Genomic DNA, 19,404 nt, shown 5'->3' with positions numbered 1-19,404 from the left:
ACCATTCTTCGGGGTCCGGTGCTTGGAGCACAATGACCATCTTGTTCCCTCCCGCCCAGCGAGGGTACAGCATTCCGGGCAGACACCCGATTCCCCCTTCCAGCTTCGCACTTGGGCCTTACCAGCCGCGCTGCCCACCGCCTCGATTCCAGCCTCGCCATCAGACTCGGGCTCTGAATCTTCCGCGTAAACTGCGAGAGACGACAGAACATTCTTCTTCCCCGCCATCTTATTCCCACAGCCCGGGCGTGGCTCACTCCTATGACTCAAGACGCCGACTTCCGGGCGGAAAGGCAGGTTCTTTCGGATCCCAGGAGACCCCCGCGCCACACTGGAAACCAATCAAAACGGCAGTTTCCTGCGCCTGGCTCCGCCCTCATGCCAGCGCTCGCGCTACGTCATCACTGCGCGACGGATATAAGATTGCGTGGGTTCTGCCTAAAGCTGAATTCCCAGCGCTTTGGCTTCTCTGAGTTGGGGTTGTGTATAGGGGTCTTCGAACAGTTCCGGAACCAGCCAGCAGCCTTTAATTCTTGGGCGGACCACGGCCGGTTCTGATATCTTAGGGTGAAGAGAGGGAGGTGTCGGCCAGCCAAGAGAGAAAATTGCGGATCTTGGGCTCAGGAAGACGGGAGAAGGGGTTCGGGGTCCCGGGGTGGAAGAACGGTCGTCGTGGTTGCGCTTATAGAAGTAGGAGCAGGTGGTGGATCTTAGGAAAACGGTTCCCCGTTCTCCAAGCTGTTCTGAAGACATTTATGTTTCTTCTCTTGATCTGATTTCTAGCTCTGTGCTATACCGTGGCCTGGAATAGTTCAATGTTTTCATTTTCATTGAGCGTAAAAGTGGAGATGTTAATTACTGAGGAATGTATTGCTTGAGGCAGTTCACCTTCAGCTTTATTACTTAAAAATAATACATTATTTAAGTGTAATATAGCAAATTGTTACAGAAAAATAATCTGTATTTTTAATGCAAAACAGAGGGTTCTCGTGGCAACCTTTTACTACCTTTGCCTTAACCTTTGGCCACTGTTCTTGGCTAAGATGAGCAGCCACCATACCACCTTTCCTTTTGACCCTGAGCGGCGAGTCCGGAGTACGCTGAAGAAGGTCTTTGGGTTTGACTCTTTTAAGACGCCTTTACAGGAGAGTGCGACCATGGCTGTAGTAAAAGGTAACATTACCAAGCTACCTTCCTTTAAATTTATGCTGGCTATACCATAACGCTGCGGCAGAACACCCTCCTCCTCACCCTTCGTACTGCCTCACCTTTGGTCCATAACTGGATTTGGAAATCTTTAGAGTTGTCAAAGCTTGTAGTTTCGTTTATTTGTTTTAATTAGAGATGGGGTCTTGGCATGTTGCTCAGGCTGGTCTCCAAATCCTGGGCTCAGGCAATCCTCCCACCTCGGCCTCCCAAGGTGCTGGGATTACAAGCATGAGCCACCACGCCCGGCCCAAAGCTTGTAGTTTTAGTGGCAGAACCACCCAGCTGGTCTATATTTCATAGCTAGATTTACACATGGTCTTTGAAAACACTTCAGATTCTCATTATTGTTCGTTTGTACACACAAACGAACAGCAACAGTGAGGGTGGTAGGAATAACTTAACTCGGTCACTGGCCTCCTAGGTAATTCCCTTGTTGCAGGTTGAGTGGCCTTGGTCCCAGATAGAGAAGGAAAGAGTAATAATGTTATAAACCTGAGATACGGTGACAAATGGAAGTTGCCAAGAGGCGAGCAGCAATGTAATATTAATGATACATGTCTAAACAAAAGCCCTCTAAGTAATGTCCTCTCATGTCTACACAGATGTACCCACTCATCTAGCAGTACTCTGCTTTCATGGCTGTTTAGTTCAATCATCCATATCACAGCAGACTCAGACTTCTTTTTTTTTTTTTTTTTTTTTGAAACAGAGTCTTGCTCTGTCGCCCACACTGGAGTGCAGTGGCGCGATCTCGGCTCACTGCAACCTCCGCCTCCTGGGTTCAAGCAATTCTCCTGCTTCAGCCTCCTGAGTAGCTGGGATTACAGGCACGTGCCACCATGCCTGGGTAATTTTTGTATTCTTAGTAGAGACAGAGTTTCACCATGTTGGCCAGGCTGGTCTCAAACTCTTGCCCTCGTGATCTGCCTGCCTTAGCCTCCCAAAGTGCTGGGATTACAGGCGTGAGCCACTGCGCTTGACCCAGACTTTTTAAATCTTGTTTTTAACCATTACTAGAAATGGTTTGGGCATGTATCCAAGTTTCCCAGGATCCTTGCCTTTTTCATAGAAAGGACAGGAGGGGAATTAGGATTACATCGAGACCCTCCCATGTGCCAGACACTCTGCTAGGTGCTTTTCCTACATTCTCATTTAATTTTCAACAACTTCAATGAAAAGGCAGGAAGCACTGAGATATTGTTGTCTTGTATTTTTTCAGGTAACAAGGACGTCTTTGTGTGCATGCCCACAGGGGCAGGAAAATCCCTATGCTATCAGCTCCCTGCTCTGTTGGCCAAAGGCATCACCATTGTAGTCTCTCCTCTCATTGCTTTGATTCAGGTGAGGCTTAGGGCAATGAAGATGGTAGCCCAAAAAGATTCGGGGAAGGTTTTTTGAGGCTGGAAATTTCACTTCTCTATTGGTCTTTTGCCTCTTATTTTCTTTTCTTTTTCTTTTTCCTTTTTTTTTTTTTTTTTTGAGACAGAGTCTTACTCTGTCGCCTAGGCTGAAGTGCGGTGGTGCGATCTTGGCTCACTGCAGCCTCCACCTCCCGGCTTCCAGCAATTCTTGTGCCTCAGCCCCCCATATAGCTGGGATTACAGGTGTATGCCACCATACCCGGCTAATTTTTGTATTTTTAGTAGAGATGAGGTTTCACCATGTTGGCCAGGCTGGTCTCAAACTCCTGACCTCAAATGATCCGCCCACCTCGGCCTCCCAAAGTGCTGGGATTACAGGTGTGAGCCACCACACCCGCCCCTGCCTCTTATTTTCTATGATTTGCCTATCTCATTCGCTATATTGGGTTTCTGTATTTCCCCAATGTAGTGTTCTCCACTGGTGCATATCACTCTGGGAGGTTATGAATGACTCCTCTGAGGTCCCTCACCCTCCTTTGTTATTTTTTTGTTCAGAGGAGTATGAAACTGTATTTGTACACACATATACACTCAGTCTCATGTATACACACACGTGCACTCGTGATGTTGAGACAGAAGTTGCAGATGGATAGATAGCTAAGTTGATATGGGGAATCCCTGGTGTCCTGCTTATTTTGGTAAGGGCACAGTATGTGAAACAGAAAAAAAGATGAGAAACTGTCTGGGACCTTATTAACATCTGCTCTACAGGTGTTCTGACTATTTAAGGCCTGCAGATGGGCTGATAGAATCAGAATTGAGGAAGTGTGGCTGTGTGGGTAAGAGCCATCCACCATGAAGGAAGGTAGAGAGGGAACTACAGTAATAACTTGGTGAATGTTCACCAGGTCCCAGGCTTCGTGCTAAGTGCTTTACATACATTAATTTCTTTCTTTCTTTTTTTTTTTTTTTTTTTGAGATGGAGTTTCGCTCTTGTTGCCCGGGCTTGAGTGCAATGGCGTGTTCTCGGCTCACCGCAACCTCCGCCTCCCGGGTTCAAGCAGTTCTCCTGCCTCAGTCCCCCGAGTAGCTGGGATTACAGGCATGCGCCACCATGCCTGGCTAATTTTGTATTTTTAGTAGAGACAGGGTTTCACCATATTGGTCAGTCTGATCTCGAACTCCTGACCTCAGGTGATCTGCCCGCCTCAGCCTCTCAAAGCGCTGGAATTACAGGTGTGAGCCACCGCGCCCGGCTTACATACGTTAATTTCACCTCTCAGATGTAAATTTTAAGTTATACAACAATGCTATTAGATAGAATTGTATAAATCGTTCAGAGGGTAAGAAACAGCCAGCGAGCATGTGGCGATTAAGTGAGCCAGGATGAAATCTAAATCTGAAGTCTGTCTGACTTCAGAGCCTGTGCTCTAAACCACTTCACCTTCCATAGAGATTGAGCATCCCTAAAGCAAAAATCTGAAATCTGAAATGCTCCAAAATCCAAAAAATTTTAGTGCTGACGTGATTCCACAAGTGGAAAGTTCCACACCTTTCTGACCTCATGTGATGGGTTGCGGTCAAAACTCAGCCAAAACTGTTTTTTCATGCACAAAATTATTATTATTATTTTTAATATATATTTTTTATTATACTTTAAGTTCTAGGTACATGTGCACAACGTCATGTCAAAATTATTAAAAATATATAAAATTACATCTAGGCTATATGTATAAGGTATACGTGAAAGAAAAAATGAATTTCATGTTCAGACTTGGGTCTCATCTTTAAGAGATCTCATTATGTATATGCAATCTGCAAATATTCCTAAATCCAGGAATATCTGAAATCTAGAACACTTTTGGTCCCAAGCATTTGATAAAGGATATTCAACCTCTACTACTTCTATGCAAAGAGAATATATATTGGAGGGTGGGAGGAGGACAGTTTATGACTGGGAAATCCTCCAGGGACTTGCAGTGATGTTTACCTGAGTCCTGAGGGCCAGTTACAGCCTCTTTCTCTTCTCTTAGGACCAAGTGGACCACTTGCTAACCCTAAAGGTACGAGTAAGTTCCCTGAACTCGAAGCTCTCTGCACAGGAAAGGAAGGAGCTGCTTGCTGACCTGGAGCGAGAAAAGCCCCAGACCAAGATTCTGTACATCACCCCAGAGATGGCAGCTTCATCCTCCTTCCAGCCCACCCTGAACTCCCTGGTGTCCCGCCACCTGCTGTCTTACTTGGTGGTGGATGAAGCTCATTGTGTTTCCCAATGGGGGCATGACTTTCGTCCTGACTACTTGCGTCTGGGTGCCCTGCGCTCCCGCCTGGGACATGCCCCTTGTGTGGCTCTGACCGCCACAGCCACCCCACAGGTCCAAGAGGACGTGTTTGCTGCCCTGCACCTGAAGAAACCAGTTGCCATCTTCAAGACTCCCTGCTTCCGGGCCAACCTCTTCTATGATGTGCAATTCAAGGAACTGATTTCTGATCCCTATGGGAACCTGAAGGACTTCTGCCTTAAGGCTCTTGGACAGGAGGCTGATAAAGGGGTGAGGCATTGAGGTGGAGGCCAAGCAGCTGTTAGAGCAGTGGGGTGCGATGTGATGGAGATGGAGATTAGTCTAAGACCTTTGGTTTTTCTAGCTTTCTCAGCCAGGCTTCCTAAAACTTGTGCACAAAAAGAGTTGTCTCTTTGGTTTCCTGGCATTGTCCTCCTTACCAGGGTTTCCTTGTTCTGGATCCTGTGGAAGGCAAGCAGCCAGCCAGTCTGTGTGATGCCTCTGCAGACCCATGCAAAGCTCATGAAGAGGAGGCAGAGAAGTTAAACAGGTTGAGTTTTGAGCAGCTTTTGGCCTGTTTTTTTTTTGAGATGGAGTTTTGCTCTTGTTGCCCAGGCTGGAGTGCAATGGCGCAATCTTGGCTCACCGCAACCTCCGCCTCCTGGGTTCAAGCGATTCTCCTGCCTCAGCCTCCCAAGTAGCTGGGATTACAGGCATGCGCCACCACTCCCGGTTAATTTTGTATTTTTAGCAGAGACGGGGTTTCTCCGTGTTGCCCAGGCTGGTCTCTAACTCCTGGCCTCAAGTGATTCCCCCCACCTTGGCCTCCCAAAGTGCTGGGATTGCAGGCATGAACCATTGCATCCAGCCTGGTCCTGCTTTTTATAAAGTGACAGAGCCTCACTGGGTGTCCTGCCTCAGAAGAGACTGAAGCCGACGAGAGAAGGAACACAGAGCTTCTTTTAGAGCAGGGTGCATTACACTGGGCCTATTGTTCTGTTCTTGCTATGCTTATTTTCTTCCTGCATCTCCCCATTCAGTTATCTGGCTGCGGCATTGTGTACTGCAGGACTAGAGAGGCTTGTGAACAGCTGGCCATAGAGCTCAGCTGCAGGGGTGTGAACGCCAAGGCTTACCATGCAGGTAAGGGGCACCCAGGCCACTTGAGTCTCTTCACCCTCAGAGGCTTCTTAGCTGGTCTCTTGTTCTTTACAGATCCTGGTTATCAGGTGACCCACCATCTTATTGCAGATACTCAGGCAGAGCTAAAGTGATACACTTAAATCCCCTAAAAGGAGTCTAGACATGAATGAGGTCTAAAATGAGAATTGTGACTCCTGAGTTCTTCCCACTGTATGCCTACCCAGCAGCAGGTGATACGTTTTTACAAGCCAAGGTAATGGTGTTGTAGGAAGAGCACAGGCTTTGGAGGCCAACGGACTTGGGCTTGAATCATGGCCCTAACCTTTGCCAAATGCTCTGTGCCACACATGGGCTAGGGTCTTTGTGCCTGTCAGCTGAGGCTCAGTAAAGTTAAGCGCCTGATGTTAAGGTCAGACAGCTGGGAAGTGAAAGATTCAGGGTTTGTGAAGTGCCTAGCACACAGTGTCAAACCCAAAATAGGCCCCCGGTAAACCCAAGGGAAATGTGAGTTCCCTTCTCCATCTTCCCCTCCTTTACAGGGCTGAAGGCCTCTGAAAGAACGCTGGTGCAGAACGACTGGATGGAGGAGAAGGTCCCTGTAATTGTTGCAACCATTAGTTTTGGGATGGGAGTGGATAAAGCCAATGTCAGGTGAGCTTTGGTTCTTGCCCTGCCCTCCTGGTCTGGGCCTGGCTCAGGGTGGATTGCCTAGTGCTGTGCCCAAAGGACCAGGTGCATGTGCTCCTTCGAGGGCTAGAGGGGAAGGAAGCTCCAGGAGAGAGTCCTTAGAATACAGCCTGAATGCTGACAGCTCCTGTGCGGCCTGCTCCCAGGTGACTGCACGGCATGGTTCTGGCACCCCCCAGGATGGGGCAGCATGCAGTCTGTCAGGCTTGTCCTTTAACATAGTCCTGTTCACTCACATCTCAGTAGGTGGATCCTATGAGGAGGTGGGAATAAAGGAACTATAGTCATGCACCTCATGTTGATGTTTCGGTCAATGACAGACTGCATAGACTGAGATCCTGTAAGATTGTAATGGAGTTGAAAAATTCTTATGGCCTAGTGATTTGCATTACAGTTGCCTACAATATTCAGTGCAGTTAACACTCGATACATGTTTACAGCCTAGCTGTGCAGGCTGCAGTACCATCTAGATTTATGTAAAGACTATCCACCGTAATGTTTGCACAATGATGAAATTGCCTAACAAGTCATTTCTCAGAACGTATCCCTGGCCGGGCACAGTGGTCCACACCTGTAATCCCAGCACTTTGGGAAGCCAAGGCAGGTGGATCGCTTGAGTTCACGAGTTTGAGACCAGCTTGGGCAACGTGGCCAAACCTCCATCTCTACAAAAAATACATAAAAATTAGCCAGGTGTGGTGGTGCGTGCCTGTAGTCCCAGCTACTTGGGGGGCTGAGGTGGGAGGATTGCTTGAGCCCGGGAGGCGGAGGTTGCAGTGAGCTGAGATCATGCCACTGCACTTCAGGCTGGGCAACAGACCAGGACCCTGTCTTAAAAAACAAACAAAAACACCAAAAACCAAAACACAATATGTATTCCCATCATTAAGTAATGTGTGACTGTATTTTAAGCTACTCCCTGTGGAAGGTCAAAGGCAAGGCTCTTAGAACCATCATTCCTTTTTATTGCTTACTAATAGTCTAGAAGAGTCGGGGTGCATCCCAGCCTCCTAGCCCCACACTGGCAACTAATAGGAAGTCTTTTATATCTGGCCATGACCTTCAAGAGGCGTTTTGGGCTACAGCCTGAAGCCCTTTGGTCTGATTAACGACAAATAATAATACCTTGTATGATTTACGGAGCATGTTTGCATACATGGTCTTCGTGAACCTCACAGTGACCCTGAGTTAGGGACGAAATTTTATAGTGCGTTACATTTGAAAGAACACCGACTTCAGAATCAGAGTTCGAACCCTGGGTATGCTGCCAGGTGTAGTGGTTCACACCTATAATTCCAGCACTTTGGGAGGACCAGATGGGAGGATTGCTTGAGCCCAGGAGTTCGAGACCAGCCTGGGCAACATAGCAAGACTCCATCTCTATAAAATTAAAAATTAGCCAGGTATAGTGGCATGTGCCTGTAGTCCTGGATACTTGGGAAGCCGAGGTGGAAGGATTGCTTGAGGCCGGGGGTTGAGGCTGCAATGAGCTGTGATTGTGCCACTGTACTCTAGCGTGTGCAACAGAGCAAGACCCTGTCTTGAAAAATAAAAAACAAGGCCGGGCACAGTGGCTTATGCCTGTAATCCTAGCACTTTGGGAGGCCGAGGCAGGCGGATCATGAGGTCAACAGATTGAGACCATCCTGGCTAACATGGTGAAACCCCGTCTCTACTAAAAATACAAAAATTAGCTGGGCATGGTGGCGCCCACCTGTAGTCCCAGCTACTCAGGAGGCTGAGGCAGGAGAATCGCTTGAACCCGGGAGGTGGAGGTTGCAGTGAGCTGAGATCACTCCACTGCACTCCAGCCTGGTGACAGAGCAAGACTCCATCTAAAAATAAAATAAAATAAAAAACAAGCAAAATAAATAAAATGAATCCTGGGTCTGTGGTATCTTGTTAAGAGCCAGTTTTGAAGGCAGACACCCCTAGGCCCAAATTCTAGCTCTGCTGACCCTTTACTGTGTAACCTTGTACAAATTTACCTTTCTGAATCTCATATTCTGGAGAATGGGCTACCTCACATGATGGTGACTAACAATTAAATGAGACATATATAAACTGGCACATAGGAGGTATTTAATAAATATTATTCCTTTCCCTCTCCAAAGAAGTTATAAATAACTTATTCAAATTTGCATAGCTCATAAGTGGCAGAGCCTCATTTTGTTTCTTTAGGTCCAGTATTTTTTCCACTGGGCCCTGGCTGAGTTTTTTGGCCCCTCATATGTGCTGGATTTGCCCCCCCTTAACTCCTGCTGTGGCCTCTAAGCTGGGCTGCTTCTAGAAGGGAGACGTGCTGATGGGCTACAGGTGTCTTAACTATTCTAACTCTGGGACTATCCCTCTCCCTCCCTATCTGCTGGCCTCCCTGCTCTCCTAGTCATGATTACTCCTCCAAAGGACACTCAGCTTCTCCACCATCTCATGCTGCTTGTCCCTTTGGATCCTACAGGTTTGTCGCCCATTGGAATATTGCCAAGTCTATGGCTGGGTACTACCAGGAGTCTGGCCGGGCTGGCAGGGATGGGAAGCCTTCCTGGTGCCGTCTCTATTACTCCAGGAATGACCGGGACCAAGTCAGCTTCCTGATCAGGAAGGAAGTAGCAAAACTCCAGGTAAGGCTTGGGCAGTAGAAGGTCTTTCAGTCTGACCCACCACTCTCCAGTTTTGTGAAGCTGATTTCTGAACTCTGATGATGCTTGTGTAAGCTAGAGGAGGCTGCTCCCAACCTGTAAGTATAGCAAAGGGAAATGGCGTATTGGTTAGGTAGGCAGCTTACAACAAGCTAGGTTAGACTTTTTCTTTCTAAATATTTAAATATTTAAATTATCTTAATACTAGCTTTTTTTCTTTTTTCTTTTTTTTGAGACAGAGTCTCACTCCGTCGCTCAGGCTGGAGTGCAATGGCATGAACTCGGCTCACTGCAACCTCCGCCTCCCGGGTTCAAGCGATTCTTCTGCCTCAGCCTCCTGAGTAACTGGGATTACAGGTGCATGCCACCATGCCCAGCTAATTCTTGTATTTTTAGTAGAAACAGGGTTTCACCATGTTGGCCAGGATGGTCTCGATCTCATGACCTCGTGATCCGCCTGCCTCGGCCTCCCAAAGTGTTGGGGTTACAAGCATGAGCCACTGTGCCCACCTTTTTTTTTTTTTTTTTTTTTAAGAGACAAGGTCTCTCACTGTCACCCAGGCTAAAGTGCAGTAGCATAGTCATGGTTCACAGCAGCCTCTAACTCCTGGCCATAAATAATCTTCCCACCTTGAGTAGCTGGGACCACAGGTGTGTGCCACCACGCCCAGCTAATTTTTTTTTCAGTTTTTGGCAGAGATGGGGTTTCACTATGGTGCCCAGACTGGTCTCATGACTCCTGGGCTCAAGTAATCCTCCTGCCTCAAACTCCCAAACTACTGAGATTACAGGTGTGAGCTACTGCTCCCGGCCTTAATATTGTCTTTTGTGTACATGTTATTTTATGTGGTCAAGATCAGTACTGCCTTGTTTCTTTTGTTAAAGAGATGGGGTCTCTCTGTGTTGCTCAGGCTCAAGTGCAGTGGTGATTCACAGGCGTAATCATAGCACAGTATACCCTCGAACTCCTGGGCTCGAGTGATCCTCCTGCCTCTGCCTCTCAAGTCGCTGGGACCAGAGGCATGTGCCACTGCACCTGGCTTAATCTTCCCTTGTTTTTTGTTTGTTTGTTTTGTAGAGACGAGCTCTTGTTATGTTACCCAGGCTGGTCTCAAACTCCTGAGCTCAAGTGAGCCTCCCACCTTAGGCTCCCAGAGTGCTGGGATTACAGGCGTGAGCCACCGTGTCCAGCCTATAAGTACTTATTTCTAATCTCTGCCAAAATGACAATAAAGGGGCCGGGCGCGATGGCTTACGCCTGTAATCCCAGCACTTTGGGAGGCCGAGGCGGGTGGATCACGAGGTCAGGAGATCAAGACGATCCTGACTAACACGGTGAAACCCCGTCTCTACTAAAAATACAAAAAATTAGCCGGGCGTGGTGGCGGGCGCCTGTAGTCCCAGCTACTTGGGAGGTTGGGGCAGGAGAAGGGCGTGAACCCAGGAGGCAGAGCTTGCAGTGAGCCGAGATCACGCCTCTGCACTCCAGCCTGGGGGACAGAGTGAGACTCTGTCTCAAAAAAAAAAAAAAAAAAGACAATAGAAGGATAAATATACATAAATTCGCAAGGATAATGAAAGTAGGAGAGAAGACAACAGCAGGTAGAAATGACAACACATTGTGCCTAGAAACACAAAAACCCTACTAGAAATCTACTCAATCATAAGAAAATCTGGCAAACTGGTTGAATATAAGAGAAATAGTTTAAAGATCAGTAGCTTTTCTCTAGTCAGATGAGAGCCAAGGAAAAAAAAAATCAGTAGCTTTTCTCCACATTACCATAAATACCTAGAAATAGAAACAAAAAAAAAACTTAATTTACAACAATAAAACTTATAAAATACTTAGGAATAAGTGTTACAAGCTGTTAACACGAGTTTTTTTCAAAAAGCTCCCCAGTAGGCTGGGTGCGGTGGCTCACGCCTGTAATCCCAGCACTTTGGGAGGCTGAGGCGGGCAGATCACCTGAGGTCGGGAGTTTGAGACCAGCCTGACCAACATGGAGAAACCCCGTCTCTACTAAAAAAATGCAAAATTAGCCAGGTGTGGTGGCGCATGCCTGTAATCCCAGCTACTTGGAAGAGGCTGAAGCAGGAGAATGACTTGAACCCACGAGGTGGAGGTTGTGGTGAGCCGAGATCGCGCCATTGCATTCCAGCCTGGGCAACAAGAGTGAAAGTCGGTCTCAAAATAAACCAAAAAAAGCTCCCCAGTTGCTTTGAATATATGGCCAGGGTTGACAACCACTGATTTAGATGAAGAAAACTAAAATCTCACCAAGAGAAAACAAGCTCTGGGGCCAGGAGCAGTGGCTCTTGCCTGTAATCCCAGCACTTTGGGAGGCCAAGGCAGGCAGATCACCTGAGGTTAGGAGTTCAGGACCATCCGGCCCAACATAGTGAAGCCCGTCTCTAACAAAAAAAATACAAAAATTAGCCAAGCATGGTGGCACACACCTGTAGTCCCAGCTACTGGGAAGGCTGAGGTGGGAGAATCACTTGAACCTAGGAGGTTGAGGTTGCGGTAAGCTGAGATCATACCATGGAGTGGAGGACGCACTCCAGCCTGGGCGACAAAGTGAGACCCTGTCTCAAAATAAAAATAAAAATTAAAAAGGCCAGGTGCGGTGGCTCACGCCTGTAATCCCAGCACTTTGGGAGGACGAGGTGGGCAGATCACGAGGTCAGGAGATCAAGACCATCCTGGCTAACATGGTGAAACCCCATCTCTATTAAAAATACAAAAATATTAGCTGGGCGTCGTGGCGGGCGCCTGTAGTCCCAGCTACTCGGGAGGCTGAGGCAGGAGAATGGCATGAACCCGGAAGGCGGAGCTTGCAGTGAGCCCAGATTGCACCACTGCACTCCAGCCTGGGTGATAGAGCGAGACTCTGTCTCAAAAAAAAAAAGGCCAGGCGCAGGGGCTCATGCTTGTAATCCCAGCACTTTGGGAGGCCAAGGCGAGCGGATCACTTGAGGCCAGTAGTTCGAGACCAGCCGGCCAACATGGTGAAACCCCGTCTCTACTAAAAATACAAAAATTAGCCGCGCGTGGTGGCGGGCTCCTGTAATCCCAGTTACTCGGGAGGCTGAAGTAGGAAAATCGCTTGAACAAAGGATATGAAAAGCAAATAATATGAAAAGAAAGTTCCCAGAAAAATTTATCAAATGACATGTTTAAAAATGTTAGGCTGGGTGAGGTGGCTCATGCTTGTAATCCCAACACTTCGGGAGAATGACATGGGAGGATCTCTTGAGGCCAGGAGTTTGAGTAGTTTGGGCAATGTAACAAGACTTTATCTCTACAAAATATTTAAAAATTAGCTGGGTGTAGTGGTATGCACCTGTAGTTCCAGCTACGCAAGAGGCTGAGGTGGGAGGATCACTTGAGTCCAGGAGGTCAAGGCTGCAGTGAGCTGAGATCATACCATTGCACTCCAACCTGGGTAACAGAGTGAGACCCTGTTTCAAAAACTAATAATAATAAAAAAAATTAGCTGAGCATGGTGATGTGCGCCTGTAGTTCTAGCTACTCAGGATGCTGAGCTGGGAGGATTGCTTGAGCCTAGGAATTCAAGGCTGCAGTGAGTTATGATCATGCCACTGCACTCCAGACTGGGTGACAGAGCAAGACTCTGTCTCCAAAAAAATAAATAAATAAACAAATAAAAATGCAATGCTGTATGTGGAAACTTGAAGGAAAAAAAAGACATCTTCAGATAACAAAGGTTTCAAAAACTTTCCCCTGGTATGTCATGTCTCAGAAGCTATTAAAGGATGTTCTCCATTGTAGAGAGGCAGTAAACCTAGAAAGCAAAGATGGAAACTTACCCAGGAGTAAGTCTTGGCACAGGACAATATTGGAGAGTAGTCCGGAAAGACAGCTGTGTCCCAGGCCTAGGGAAAACTGGTCCAGATTGCACTAGGGGGCAGAAGACTCCAGGAAGGAAGGTTCTAAACATCAAAGTGGAAGCTGGCATCTCTGGCTCCTATCGAAATGAATTGTTCATTATGTTAGGACAGTTAGGGGTGAATTAATAACATACTGAAATCTAAGTAAATGGAGAAAAACAAAGCTATTTCAGGGGAAACACAGTTACACAAGAAAGGAAATGTGATCACAGGAAATATAAAAATGCAATCACTTCGGTTTAGCTGTGAACTCTGTTGACATAGTCATAATAAGGAAAATATGGATTTAATAAGAAATTGTGTTGTAAACATATTGGGAAGTTGGGGGTACAGAATCTGTGTGTATTTGTGTGTATTGGTGGGGATGAGTTACCTGCCCAAAGCAGAAACTCAATAGATGATGTCTCAGATATCAGTGTCTGGTTTTTGTTTTTTTGGGGTTTTTTTTTTGTTTTGTTTTGTTTTGTTTTGTTTTTCAGACAGTCTTTGTCGTGCAGGCTGGAGTGCAGTGGTGCAATCTCAGCTCACTGCATTCTCCATCTCCCAGGTTCAAGCAATTTTCATGCCTCAGCCCCCCAAGTAACTGGGATTACAGGCGCCCACCACCACGCCTGGCTAATTTTTGTATTTTTAGTAGAGACAGGTTTCACCACATTGGCCAGGCTGGTCTCGAACTCCTGACCTCAAGTGATCCACCTACCTCAGCCTCCCAAAGTTCTGGGATTACAGGCATAAGCCACCATGCCCGGGCTCTTTTTTTCCTTTTCTGTATTAAATAATTCACAGTATTTTAAAAGGATATGTTGGCAAATAGACATGTACACAAAAAAGGCCGCTGATGAATAATCACATCACTCACAAATGCTCAGTATTCTGCTAGTTGATTCAGCCACAAGTCCATAGACAGGCTTATAACAGAGTGAAGCCAGGAACGGTCTCTGAGCAGAGCTGCACCAGAGCTTCGGTCACTAAGAGGGGAATTACCTCCAGGAATGGGCAAGGAAGGAAGTTGGCTGCCATCTTTAGAGTTCCACTGCCCTGACCAGGTGTCCACATTTGAAATGTATAGTGCCCATTCCTTACCTAATAGTGGTTCCTGGCCCAAGGTGAGCCTGTACTTTGAATTGGATAAGGGTGCAGAGGTCTTCCTGGTGGGAAGGCCTGGAGCTGTTGTTGCTCAGCTGTGGGGACCACCTGCTATTGCCCTACTCCCCTCTAGTGGGAGCCAAAGGGAAGGCTGGCTGATGAGTGTCTGCGGATTGAGGATGTGGCAGGGACTGGTGCCCCCACCTCCCTCCGCCCCACCACCAAAGATGGGGCTCTGCCTGCTGTGTGCCTGTCACCAGCAACCGGCAGTCATGCCTTGGGTTTCCCAGGTGGAGAGGTGGCAGGCAACATTTTAAAAAGAAAACAGGAAACTATATTGTGTGGGGGAGGCAGGAGTGGAGATGAGAAAACAGTTTGGATTTTGTGAGAGGGGCTTTGGGGGAGTTTGGTAGTTGTTGGTAACTTAAGTGCTTTTTCTTCCTTTTAAGTTAGTTGCAGGCTTTGGTTTGGAAAGCCCCAGGGAAGTGGGGTGGGGGACAGAAACCTGAGGCTCTTGCCCCTTTATCTGCCTTCACAGTACCATCTCCTTCCCCCAGCTTTACCCTGCGCTCAGGAGCCAGGCCTCAGCGCTTCCTGCTATCCACTTCCCATAAGCCACTCCTCTGATATTAGTCCATAGCCAAAGGAGCTGTGGGTCCAGGCCTGGTGACCAGCCCAGCTCAGCCCGCTCATTCAGGGTGCTCCCTACCTGCAGGCAGGAGGCAACACCCTGTCTGCTACCATTAGCACCTTCCAGAGCCCACCTCCCCTGCCCAGCCGTACCCTGCTCTGCCCCATCTGGGATGCTGTGCTCAGGCATGAGCTGGCAGGGCCGCACACAGCCTCCCTGGTAAGTAGAGACTCAGGAAACCTTTGGGGTCCTCCTGTTTTCTGGTTGTGTGATCCAAGTGGTGCACACTGGCCCCTTGGGTGCCAACTGAAGGGCTTGGGAATCTTGCTCTCCTGGTGTAGCTGGCAGCTGCCCACCCCCACCCCACATGGGTTTCTGAGTCGGCAGGTCAAGCATTATTTTATTTTATTTTATTATTTTATTTGAGATGGAGTCTTGCTCTGTTGCCCAGGCTGGAGTGCAGTGCCACGATCTCAGCTCACTGCAGCCTCTGCCTCCCGGGTTCAAGTGATTCTCCTGCCTCAGCCTCCTGAGTACCTGGGATCACAGACATGCACCACCATGCCTGGCTAATTTTTGTATTTTTAGTAGAGATGGAGTTTCAACATGTTGGCAAGGCCGGTCTCGAACTCTTGACCCCAGGTGATCCGCCCACCTCAGTCTCCCAAAGTGCTGGGATTACAGGTTTTAAATTGTATTTTAAATTCATGTTTTAAGCTTATCAAGAAGAGTCACTTAACCTTTTAATATATCTCCCTCCAATATACACAGAAGTATATGTGTTCATATTTGTTAAGTTCACAACATTTGTGCGTGTATTTACTATTATTAAAATAGGTGATATTATATAGCGCTTCCTAAATGCCAGTCTGTGGGCCCTTTGCATGAGAACCTCCTGAGAAGCTTTTCGGAAACTCTCAAAAGCTCATCCCAGAAAATTCAGTTCAGTAGTCTGGGGGTTATGATACATAGTCAGGTTTGGGGACACTTTTGTAAATGGCTTTATTACTGTCATTTAATATTTTTCTCCCTTGTTACTTTTTTTTGTTTTTGAGACGGAGTGCAGTGGCATGATCTCAGCTTGCTGAAACCTCCACCTCCTGGGTTCAAGTGATTCTTCTGCCTCAGTCTCCCAAGTAGCTGGGACTACAGGCATGCGCTGCCACACCTGGCTAATTTTTTTGTATTTTTAGTAGAGACAGGGTTTCACCATGTAGGTCAGGCTGGTCTCGAACTCCTGACCTCAAATGATCCTCCTGGCTCAGCCTCCCAAAGTGCTGGGATTACAGCCGTGAGCCACCGCACTCGGCCTCCTCATTACTTTTTGTGGCTCTAAGGTAGTCCAATTCTATAAGACTTGCTAAGTGGTCATTTTTTGTCCCCAGGAAAAGAGAGGAAACAAAGCATCTGATAAAGCCACTATCATGGCCTTTGATGCCCTGGTGACCTTCTGTGAAGAACTGGGGTAAGTGACTTATTTTATATGTGGAGCAAAGTGTCAGTGAGATCATTTACTTCCCCGGCACGCCCTAGTTAAGCAGCTGACATAAGACAGCCCGTAGGCTACCAAGGGACACCTGCCTGCAAAGGCTGTTGTGTCGGGCAGTGTGGAAGTCAGGACCTTGCTCTTCTCTATTGGAGGCCCCGGGATCTCTCGCAGTGTGGGGATTTGCTCAGTATTCTGAGTGGTGTCCTTCCCTCCACTCCACCCTCTTCTGGGATGGCTGGCCCCACAAGCCACTCAGTTCCAAGGGATGTGACCAGCTCTGAGCCATCGGCTTTGTGGTCATCATGTGCCACCGAGCTGGGACTTCTGGCATCACTTGAGTAGTCCTCACCCTTATCCAGGACCCACACAGAAGCCTGTGGCCCCACTTACCTCGGGGAGTCATGTGCTTTGAACTCACGCATCTGTTTTACCTGCATCTGCAGGCGATGGGGCAGGGGCCACGGAAAGAGTCTGAGGGCTGCTTGGTGTAGTCAGGTTGTGTCCAGGCATGCGGAGCTGTGAGTGCCTGCAGGAGAGACACCCAGGAGGAGTTTTTACATTTTGGTCTAAAAAGCTCTTGGATTCATCTCATCTCATGGAATGATCCTGTCGGATGACGCTGACGTGATTGCTTCAGACTTAGAGGTGAATAAATTGAGGTCCAGAGAGGTCACAGTCACGAAGCTCATGGTAGACTGAGGCCACTAAACACCCGTCTCCTGATTTTCAGTGGCGTCCTCATTTGCATACACCTGGGCCATCTTGGTTTTTGCAAGAAAAAAGCGAGGAAATCAGAGAAACTCTTTGGGCTGTGTGTTTTTATTTCCACCTCCTCCTGTTGACCAGTGAGTCGGTGGCTTCTGGACTGAAGCTATTTTCTTCTCCAAACTGCTGTCTCTAATTTGGCCTCTGTGGCAAGACCACGCCCAGCAAAAGTGGTCGGCTGCAGTGCCAGGACCACCCTTGCCTGCAGCCTTTGCGACCAGAGCCCTTTTCAAGCACAATTAATATGGGAGTTGCTAAATTTGGCCTTCTTAGGCTTCTTGAGCAGAGCTCTTATTTCTGGTGAGGAATGAAAGGGCCAAGTGTTCCTGTTCATTGTGAGTCCTGTTTGCTGAAAAAAGCTCTGGGGCTGTCTGAGGCTCTGGAATGCTCTCTGGAGGGTTAACTCTGCCTGTCCCCAGGGTCTGCTCCGCCTGCCAGGCAAGGGAACAGGTCCTCCCAAGGGCCTCTGCCTTCATTTCTCCTGTCACCTTCCGGGGAGCTGGGACTTCTTAGTGCATCAGTGGCCTGGTTGCCAGGGGCTGGGGTCCAGGCATCTGTGGACTCAAGGAGTCCAGGTGACGGTGTTGCGCTGCCTCTTGAGCAGCCTCGTGCCTGTCTCCTTTGCTACATGTGATGATTCTGAAATCCAGGCAGCAGGCTGGAATAAACGCTGCTGGTATGTCTGTATTGGCTACTGTTCTTTGAATAAGTGAATGTTTCTTTATTGCATAACTGGCGTGTAGCACAAAGAAAAAGCCCCTTCTCCACCAGATATTTGCTTCCTAAGAATAGTTCTCATTGGAGGCTGAGGTCGAAGCAGCCTCCCACCAGCGATCCCTTGGGGCGGGCACCTGGCAGTGAGGGACAGAGCTAGTGGGGTGGGCTCAGCAGAAGTGGGTGCATTTCTGCAAAGGAAGCTGTAGGTTTCTTGTCAGTTTGTTGTGGGGTCTGAGGCACATGGGAGTGGGACCAGCAGAAAAGATACTCAGGTCAGTTAACTAATGAGGCGGGGCTGTGGCAGCCAGCGGTTTTCCTCTCTTCTCTATCTGTAGCTACTTTCTCTGGGCTGCAGCCTTGAAAAAGCAGTGTTTGATTATTCATAACAATGAGTGTCTTTTAGTGTCACAGGGAACAGTTATTAGGTTTGAAGCAACCTCCAGCTTGAGGCCTCGGCATCTTGAGATGGAAGAGCAGCCTTGTGTTTAGACCTGGATTGAATTGGGCCCTGTTGTTTCCTGGGATCTTGGGGCTGGGGGTGCCCAACAGCCTGGCATCTTCTTGTTTCTCTGTGTGTTTACTCATTCATTCATTTATTCAGCTGATAAATATTGACTGATGCCAGCTCTGTGCCAGGCACATTGGACATGGGGGATACACTAGTGGGCAGAAATAGCCCCGTCCCAGAGCCGGCCATGGTGGCTCATACCTGTTATACCAGCACTTTGGGAGGCTGAAGTGGGAGGATCGCTTGAGCCTGGGAGTTCAAGACCAGCCTGGGCAACATGGCAAGACCCTGTCTCTACTAAAAATACAAAAAAAAAAAACCAAAAAACACAATTAGCCAGGCATGGTGGCACATGCCTGTAGTCCCAGCTGCTCAGGAGGCTGAGATGGGAGGATCATGTAAACTCAGAAGTCGAATCTGCAGTGAGCCGAGATGGTGCCACTACAGTGCAGCCTGGGTGATGGGAGTGAGACCCCATCTCAAAAAAAAAAAAAAAAAAAGGCCGGGCGCCGTGGCTCATGCGTGTAATCCTAGCACTTTGGAGGCTGAGGCGGGTGGATCACAAGGTGAGGAGATCGAGACCATCCTGGCTAACACGGTGAAACCCCATCTCTACTAAAAATACAAAAAAATTAGCCGGTCACGGTGGTGGGAGCCTGTAGTCCCAGCTACTCGGGAGGCTGAGGCAGGAGAATGGCGTGACCCGGGAGGTGGAGTTTGCAGTGAGCCCAGATAGCGCCACCGCACTCTAGCCTGGGTGACAGAGCAAGACTCTGTCTCAAAAACAAAGAAACAACAACAACAAAGACATATAAGTCCTGTAAATGGTGTTTCGAGAGTATAAAACAAGTGGCCTTACCCTAATCCTTGAGGGTTAGGGAAGATTTACCTGAGGGAGTCAGGTTCAAACGGAGATACAAAGGATGAGGAAGGACTAACTAGGCCATAGAGTAAAGTGTGGTGTGAGGGAGAGCA

General features: G+C 48.0%; 2 protein-coding genes and 1 long non-coding RNA gene across 18 annotated transcripts in view, besides 4 other annotated features; 1 reads left to right on the top strand and 2 right to left on the bottom strand.

Moving 5' to 3' along the window:
- The window catches only part of SAP30BP (SAP30 binding protein), a 40,722-nt gene extending 40,459 nt beyond the window's left edge, over positions 1-263 (bottom strand). For all 10 annotated transcript variants that reach the window (NR_126036.2, NR_126037.2, NM_001301855.2 and 7 more), the window contains exon 1: positions 123-263. Coding sequence is in view for 6 of the 10 variants with exons in the window: in NM_001301855.2 (NP_001288784.1) it covers positions 123-228 (106 nt within the window). In the remaining 4 variants the exon portion in view is untranslated. The remainder of the gene's footprint in view (positions 1-122) is intronic.
- Positions 22-271: an enhancer, noted in NCBI's record as "active region_12773". NCBI's record gives its function as "activates an Ori minimal core promoter by ATAC-STARR-seq in GM12878 lymphoblastoid cells {active_cell/tissue: GM12878}" and the evidence as "EXISTENCE:reporter gene assay evidence [ECO:0000049][PMID:35858748]".
- Positions 22-1,322: a biological region, named in NCBI's record as "BRD4-independent group 4 enhancer GRCh37_chr17:73662359-73663558".
- Positions 123-1,322: an enhancer, noted in NCBI's record as "BRD4-independent group 4 enhancer chr17:73662359-73663558 (GRCh37/hg19 assembly coordinates)". NCBI's record gives its function as "activates an origin of replication core promoter dependent on BRD2, P300/CBP, MED14 and CDK7 cofactors, and independent of BRD4, by STARR-seq in HCT116 cells {active_cell/tissue: HCT116}" and the evidence as "EXISTENCE:reporter gene assay evidence [ECO:0000049][PMID:35650434]".
- Positions 442-541: an enhancer, noted in NCBI's record as "active region_12772". NCBI's record gives its function as "activates an Ori minimal core promoter by ATAC-STARR-seq in GM12878 lymphoblastoid cells {active_cell/tissue: GM12878}" and the evidence as "EXISTENCE:reporter gene assay evidence [ECO:0000049][PMID:35858748]".
- The window catches only part of RECQL5 (RecQ like helicase 5), a 40,301-nt gene continuing 21,343 nt past the window's right edge, over positions 447-19,404 (top strand). For 3 of the 7 annotated variants that reach the window (NM_004259.7, XM_005257818.5, XM_047437091.1), the window contains exons 1-8: positions 447-557; positions 1,030-1,173; positions 2,429-2,550; positions 4,604-5,122; positions 5,893-5,995; positions 6,535-6,646; positions 9,141-9,303; positions 16,336-16,415. In NM_004259.7, the coding sequence (NP_004250.4) occupies positions 1,044-1,173; positions 2,429-2,550; positions 4,604-5,122; positions 5,893-5,995; positions 6,535-6,646; positions 9,141-9,303; positions 16,336-16,415 (1,229 nt within the window). In that variant the 5' untranslated portion in view covers positions 447-557; positions 1,030-1,043. Of the gene's footprint in view, positions 1,174-2,428; positions 2,551-4,603; positions 5,123-5,892; positions 5,996-6,534; positions 6,647-9,140; positions 9,304-16,335; positions 18,749-19,404 lie in introns of those variants that run through there. The other 4 variants (NM_001003715.4, NM_001003716.4, XM_047437092.1 and 1 more) reach the window with 4 other exon arrangements.
- On the bottom strand, positions 8,743-16,965 carry LOC107985013 (uncharacterized). Its single transcript, XR_001753017.1, has 3 exons — positions 16,830-16,965; positions 13,153-13,310; positions 8,743-9,417 (listed from the first exon to the last, which is right to left on the bottom strand). It is a non-coding gene; the product is annotated as an uncharacterized LOC107985013 (long non-coding RNA).

This window comes from Homo sapiens, chromosome 17, assembly GCF_000001405.40.
Source record: "Homo sapiens chromosome 17, GRCh38.p14 Primary Assembly".
NCBI classification, from domain to species: Eukaryota; Metazoa; Chordata; class Mammalia; order Primates; family Hominidae; genus Homo; species Homo sapiens.
The sequence above is the reverse complement of the archived record's forward strand: the minus strand, read 5'-3'. Positions and strand labels throughout refer to the sequence as shown.